The sequence below is a fragment of the Homo sapiens genome, chromosome 8 (genome assembly GCF_000001405.40).
Source record: "Homo sapiens chromosome 8, GRCh38.p14 Primary Assembly".
NCBI lineage: Eukaryota > Metazoa > Chordata > Mammalia > Primates > Hominidae > Homo > Homo sapiens.
In genome coordinates, this window is record NC_000008.11 from 29,458,529 (window position 1) to 29,466,409 (window position 7,881).

The following is a 7,881-nucleotide window of genomic DNA, read 5'->3' on the forward strand; positions in this document are numbered from 1 at the left end:
ATCTAAAAATTGGTTTAAGAAATGGTTTCCAAATTTGCTAGGAAAATGAGTGATTTTTCTCAAAGTTTAGAAGATTGTTACATTGGGTGACAGATATTTCTTCCTTCCTTAAGCATGTTTTCCTTTCTAAATCTCAATTGATGGTCAAATCAATTTCAAGAAATGCCAAGAATAAATGCCAAAAATAAACAGCTGCGATTCCATGTTTTTGGACATTCGTTGGAACATAAGACTATGAACACCTAGGATGTTTATAGAAAGAACTGGGCATTAACACATATATCTTTAGGTCAGTGATCTGAAAATAAAAAGATCCTTAATTATTATTTATCTAGCACCTGTGATGGAGTTTTTGAAATTCTACAAATTCAATACATGTATGAAATCTGGGCCACAGGTCAACTTAGTCTGAAAAACAGAAATTGACATAGGCAAAATATTCCGATAGTCATTGTAATAAACTGTTATGAAAAAAAAAAATATCCTGTATCCGAACAGAGGGAAAAGCAAGTCATTTTAGAACTGTTGTAAGGTCTTGTTTTTATATTACACTAATGCCACTCCTCATTGGGAAAAGGCTTCCCCATCGTGTTTCAGATTCCTCAGTACTTTCTGCTGGCTCATAGTAGCTTGAATGGAATGGGTGAGGTTCAGTGAGAAAGTCAGTGGAGAGAACACCAGCTTCCCCCTCCCCCAGACAGGAAATGGCATCAAGATTAAAGATCTGCTGGTGTCTGTTGCTGGGTTTCCCTCTAGGCTATGAAAACAAATAGAACACATAATTAATATTCTTCCTGCAGCTTCTGAAAGGCCTTTAGGCGGAACATCAGTGCTCATTTTACTATCTATATTCAGGCTGCGTTTTGACACCATGATATTTTTGGGAAAGTGGGGAACATGGTGTAATCTGGGATCATCTGTAAACAAATATCAGTTTTCCAAACAGAAGGAGAGTCAGCTGGGGGTTGTTCTGTAGGCAGGGGCCCCCTGCTAATCTAAGAGATATGTGAGAAAAGGAAAAGGGGCGATTTCTACGCTGGAGAGTAGGAAGGTGTTGTTTTGGCAGGGATGGTTAACGTCAGGAGCAGTAGCCTGCCTGCTGTCGACTCTGTTCACTTTCAAATCGGTTCTCAATAAATATCTTTCGAGCACCTACCGGACTTGTGTGCTAGTCCGGTGCAGAGATAAATAACACATAATCGCTGATCAGTTTATAGTCTAAGGTATGCAGATAAGAGAAAGAAGATTTTTAAGTGATTAATCATAGCAGAATTCTGAAGCTATTGCCCAATCACCAAACTCAGAGTCGCAAAGTGTTTTCTGCTTGCCAAGAGCACTTCTGACTGTCAATCAGCCTGTAGGACTCGAGGTTTATGGGTGACCAGCCAAATCCAATTCCTTCTTATGGTGTGTGTTTCAGATATGCAAGGGGGAAAGCACAGATTTGGCTTACCCCCAAAGTCACATGAAGCCATGAGATCTAAGTTCCCAGTGCCATTGAATTCATTAGTGAAGAAGGAAATGAAGATTTGGGCCCAGTTTCTGGAGTCTGTGTCCCCCTGCCCCTTGCCAGCAAGGCTTTTTTTTTTTTTCTTATACAATGGTGAGACATGATGCTGGACTGAATGTTTAGCCCTATTTATATTTTATGAAGGAGATACATTAGCATAAAAGGTATAAAACCATGCATAGAGTTTTGCCATAAGTATGGCTAATAGGATTAAGTCACACTTTAACACAGTGCTTTGCAGTTAGAGCTAGGAAACTTGTTACCATGGTTTACTGGCAGACTTTAGGGTTAGTTAAAACTTGTGGCTGGGCGTGGTGGCTCACGCCTGTAATCCTAGCACTTTGGGAGGCCAAGTGGGGTGGATCACCTGAGGTTGGGAGTTTGAGACCAGCCTGGCCAATGTGATGAAACCCTGTCTCTACTAAAAATACAAAAAAATCAGCTGGGCGTGGTGGCAGCCTGTAGTCCCAGCACTTGGGAGGCTGAGGCAGGAGAATCACTTGAACCCGGGAGGCGGAGGTTGCAGTGAGCTGAGATTGCACCACTGCACTCCAGCCTGGGTGACAAAGCGAGACTCAGTCTTAAAAAACAAACAAACAACAACAACAACAACAACAACAAAAATCTTGTTGCTTTCCCTTTGTGTTTCTAAGGGGAAAACAATACAAAAAAACAAAAACAAAAACAAAAAAACAAAAAAAACAGCACCTACAAGTCTCAGAAGCCCTATCTTAGGTTAGTTTCGGAATGAACTCTTAGGTTTTCCTTTGGCTGACCACTGATTGCTTTAGGATTCTGAAGGTGTCTAATACTGTCATAGTGGAAAGTGCCCAGTTGAGGCCAGGCACAGTGGCTCACGCCTTTAATCCCAGCACTTTGGGAGACTGAGGCAGGCAGATCACTTGAGGTCAGGAGTGAGTTGAAGACCAGCCTGGCCAACATGGTGAAACCCCCATCTCTACTAAAAATACAAAAATTAGCTGGGCATGGTGGAGCATGCCTGTAATTCCAGCTACTAGGGAGACTGAGGCACGAGAATCACTGGAACCCAGGAGGCAGAGGTTGCAGTGAGCTGAGATTGTGCCACTGCACTCCAGCCTGGGTGACAGAGTGAGACTCTATCTCAAAAAACAAAAAACAAGACAAACAACAACAACAACAAAAACAACAAAGAATATCTGTGTTTACTGTCAGTATCCATAGCTCAGATAAATAGTCATCCTACAAGCTGATGCCTGATCAGGTTCTTCAGCTATGAAAGGAGTCCCTTCCACAGATTCAAGTCCCTGCTGGGACTAAAATTCCATAAGCTACTATTCTATATTGGGTTTTATAGTATGCTCAGCTTTTGCAGGGAGGGTAGGAGAGAGTAAATTTAACCTTTTACACCATGTATCATCAAAAAGTTTATCAAGTCCGGGTATGGTGGCTCACACCTGTAATCCCAGAACTTTGGGAGGCTGAGGCAGGAGGATTGCTTGAGCCCAGGATGTCGAGACCAGCCTGGGCAACAAAGTGAGATCCTATCTCTATAAGAAAATTTTAAAAATTAGCCAGACCTGATGGTGTGCACCTGTAGTCCCAGCTACCTGGAAGGCTGAGGTGGGAGGAACCCTGGAGCCTGGAGTGTCGAGGCAGTAGCAAGTCATGATTGCACCACTGCACTCTAACCTGGGCAACAGAGCCAGACCCTGTCTTAAAAAAAAAAAAAAGTTTATCAAGATGAGAGGGATAAACACATGTGAAACACCTATAACAATGCAAGTTAGTCTATAATTGAAACAATTTTTAAAAGCTTTAAGAATCCAAAGAACAGAGTATAAATGGGATCTGAAGATGATGAGGGGACATTTTGTGGAGGACTCAGTAAGGAAGGGCTTTACCTGGACAGAGCTTGGTAGATGTGGAATTAGGCATTTCAAATAAATAAATATTGTAAGTAGTACTTATAAGTGTATATTGGAAAAACATGTATCTGCATGCAAGCTATTTATATATATTCATTTATTTGTGTGGATATTGTCACTTATCTGTGCATTTATATAAGGAGATGCAAATGACATATCAGTTGTAGAATTTTCTCTTTGGTTCACTTAGGTTCACAGCATGAATGAATCAATGTGTGATGGATGGCTGCAAGAAACACACAGACCATGTCCTGAAATACAATGAAGGCTTCAGGTCTGGTTAGTTACTGAAATAGTAATAAGTATTGAAATAGTACAGAAGCTTCTAATCTACCAGAGAAAATTCCCAAAGTTTGATGTGAGGTGTTGCCTGTTGAGAATGTCTCTATCTCCACCACCTTTTGGAGTGAATAATTCTCTATGGTACCCCTAGCTTCTCAAACCCAAGCTTGTGCATGGCAAGTACCAACATGAGACAGGCTTTCTGAAGTTCACAAGCACAGACTGTGTTCCTTTCTTCAAATACTATCTATTTTGAACCCTCTGGCTCTTTCTCAGAAGAGATTGATGTATTTTCCAAGACACAACTTTGACCTCTGTTTTCAACCCTAACTGTGTGGTAGGAAGTAGGGACTACAGAGGTGGTGATGATTTCCAAACCTATGTGAATGAAATGACTCATGATAAATAAAAGTGGCATATACTTATTGCCTTATTTTTGAGAACTGAGACTTAACTGGTGCATAGAGTGCTGTTTGGTGTCACACAGAGATTCATCAATAGGAGAGTGGCTGCATCAAATATGGCCCATCCATCAATGGAATACTACACAGCCATGAAAAGAGTAAATACTAGAAGAGCTGATGCTGTAAGATATCTACAGTCCATTGTCAAGTAAAAAAAAATCCTTGTAGGGGCATAATTAGAAATCTATAATAAACTGCAGACAATGATTACCTCTGGGTAGTAGGATTGTGTGTGCGTGTATGTATGTGTTTTATGCTACATTTTTATATGGTTTTAATTTTTAAAAACAAGCATTTATTTCCTGTAATAAAAATTTTAAAAATATTTTTAGAAAGGAATATGTTGCTGGACTTCTTTTTTTGTTGTAGTAAAATATATAGAATATAATATTTATAATTTTTACCATGCATAAATGTACAATTAGTACAATTTAAATATGCTCACAATGTTTTATAACTGTCTCTGCTATTTATACCCCCAAACTTTTTTTTTTTTTTTTTTTGAGACGGAGTCTCGCTCTGTCGCCCAGGCTGCAGTGCAGTGGCGCGATCTCGGCTCACTGCAAGCTCCGCCTCCCGGGTTCACGCCATTCTCCTGCCTCAGCCTCCCGAGTAGCTGGGACTACAGGCGCCCGCTACCACGCCCGGCTAATTTTTTGTATTTTTAGTAGAGACGGGGTTTCACCGTGTTAGCCAGGATGGTCTCGATCTCCTGACCTCGTGATCCGCCCGCCTCGGCCTCCCAAAGTGCTGGGATTACAGGCGTGAGCCACCGCGCCCGGCTACCCCCAAACTTTTAATCATTCCCATCCAAAACTTCTTACCCATTAAGCAATAATTTTCCCTTTCCCTCTCCCTGCGGCCCCTGGTTACCTCTACTCTACTTTTCTCTCTCTGGATTTGAGCAACCAGGCAAAACCTGTCACAGCCCTGTTGCAGCACAGGTGAAGTCCTGCCCACAGGACACATTTTTAATTTTCAGAAATGTCACCTATAATTTTACCATCATTATTATTTTGGCATTTTTCCATTTAGCCTTTTCCCCTACTGTTACCTCACTACTGAAATTTTACTATATAAGCGGTTTGCTATATTGTTCTTTTAAGATACTGTGAGCATAGTTTCCTTATATTATAAATTATTTATAAATATAATTTCTTTGACAAATGAATTACACACGAGTCAAATATTTGAAATGATACTGAAAGATACTTTGATGCATGTACTATTGTACATTCATGTATACAATAGCACATGTATCAACATATTTTTCCCCAGGTACTGCTGTGTATGTGAATGTACAGTAGTACATGCATCACGATATTTTCCCCTACCTCCTTTTCCATCTCTGTGAATTTGCCTATTCTGGGTACCTCATATAGGTGGAATCATACAATATTTGTCCTTCTATATCTGACTTGTGTTACTAACATAATGTTTTCAAGGCCTATCCATTTTGTTGCATATATTAAAATTCGAATCACTTTTGTGGTTGAATAATATTCTATTACATGTTTATATGGCATTTTGTTTATCCATTCATTTGTTGATAGTTACCTGGGTTGTTTCTACATTTTAGCTATTGTGACAAATGCTGCTATGAACTCTGATAACCAAACAATCTACTCCAGTCTCTGCTTTCAATTCTTTTGCATTTATACCTAGGAGTGGAATTGCTGAGTCATATGATAGTTCTAGTTGAAGAACACACAAAATCTTTCATAATCAGACTCTTGGATTTATTTTATTTATTACTTATTTATAACTCACCACAAGTGAGTTAGAGCATGTTTTCATTAATATATGCTTGGTGAAACATTTGGATTTTCTCTTCTATGAATTATCTTTCCATGGCCTTTTTCAATTTTATTATTGGGTGACTTGTTTCCTTCTTTTAAAACCTCTGTTCATTATGAAATTTTGCCTTCTGGCTAAACTCTTTATTAAATTTATAACACCCCCCACACCAAAAAAAAAAAAAAGATAGTTCTATGTTTAACCTTTTAAGAAACAGAGAAACTATTTTCTACGATGGCTGCAGCATTTTTGGGGGGCTCAGTGTCTATTGTTTTATTTCATTTCCGGTTGCAGCATTTTATATTCCCACCAGCAATGTACAAGGATTCTCGTTTCTCCACAGCTTGTTTTTTTTCCATTTGTTCATTTGTTTATAGCCATTTTAATGGGTCTGGGTGGTTACACATTGTGGTTTTCATCTGCATTTCCCTGATGACCAGTGATGTTGAACATTTTATCGTGTGTTTATTGGAAATTTGTATATCTTTTCTGCAGAAATGTCTGTTAAAGTCCTTTGCCCATTTTTGAACTGAGTTTTTTTGTTGTTGAATTTTAGAGTTCTTTATATATTCTGGATATTCATGCCTTATCAGATATGTGGCTTGCAATATTTTCTCCTATTCAGTAGGTTGCCTTTTCATTCTCTTGGTAGTATCCTTTGATGCTCAAAATTCTGAATTTTGATGTAGTGCAACTTACCTATTTTTTCTTTTATCGCCTGTTTGCTGTGAACTTTTTTCTTTTAACCAATAGGAACTTAAATTACATTTTAAAGAGTGAGTCCATTAGATATATTGAGTTTATCTGCAAGTTTGCAGAATGGAATAAAGTGAAGCTTCCCTGCACTTCTGAGCCAAGTGCCAGCGAGTCACGCGTGGAAGGATAGGGCTGAGGCTGCCTTGGCTGCTTGGCTGGGTGGCTGGAGAGCACACCTGGCAGAAGATCACTTGGTTCTTAAGTAAGGACAGCAAAACTGGCTTCTTCTTGGTTAATTCACAGATGGTAAAGACAAAGAGATGTTCTGTGTTTGAATATGTGTAAATACCTTAGATAGTGCAGGAGTCACAGTTGATGGTAGACACAGCTTGTTGGACTTTAGAGGTGGAGATTTTTGGACCTGAATCCTAGTTCTGCCACCTACTAGGTATGGACCCCAGAAAAACAATCTTCTAACGCAGGGGTCCCCAACCCCTGGGCCATGGACCAGTATCAGTCTGTATAGTCTGTTAGGAACTGGACCACACAACAGGAAGTGAGCCAGGGGCCTGTGAGCCAAGCTTCATCTATATTTACAGCCACTCCCCACTGCCAGCATTACTGCTTGAGCTCCGCCTCGTGTCAGATCGGCAGCGGCATTAGATTCTCACAGGACCCCGAGCCCTATTGTGAACTGTGCATGTGAGGGATTTAGGTTGCAGACTCCTTATGGGAATCTAATGCGCGATGATCTGTCACTGTCTCACATCACCCCAAGATGGGACCATCTAGTTACAGGAAAACAAGCTCAGGGCTTCCACTGAGTCTATGTTATGGTGAGTTGTATAATTATTTCATTATATATTACAATGTAATAATAATAGAAATAAAGTGCACAATAAATGTAATTGGCTTGAATCATCTTAATACCATCCCCCCCATCTCGGTCCATAGAAAAATTGTCTTCCACAAAACTGGTCCTTGGTGCTAAAAACGTTGGGAGCTGTTGTTTTAGAGCCTCATTTTTTTTTATTATGGGGTTTGTAACATTAAATACTTAAATGGTAGTCCTAAAGATGAATCCTATCTAAGGTAAACAAAATGCCTCATGGTACCTGGCATATAGTAGGTGCTCAATAAATCATAGTAATTATTAAAGGAATGATGACAAATCAAGTATTAATATCATTTTTAAATGTAAAAAGGATAATAATATTAATAACAA

At 39.5% G+C, this 7,881-nt stretch overlaps 1 annotated feature.

Annotated features, from left to right (window-relative positions):
- Positions 425-926: an enhancer, noted in NCBI's record as "NANOG hESC enhancer chr8:29316470-29316971 (GRCh37/hg19 assembly coordinates)". NCBI's record gives its function as "activates a minimal SCP1, AML or CMV promoter by ChIP-STARR-seq in primed H9 embryonic stem cells {active_cell/tissue: H9 hESC(primed)}" and the evidence as "EXISTENCE:reporter gene assay evidence [ECO:0000049][PMID:30033119]".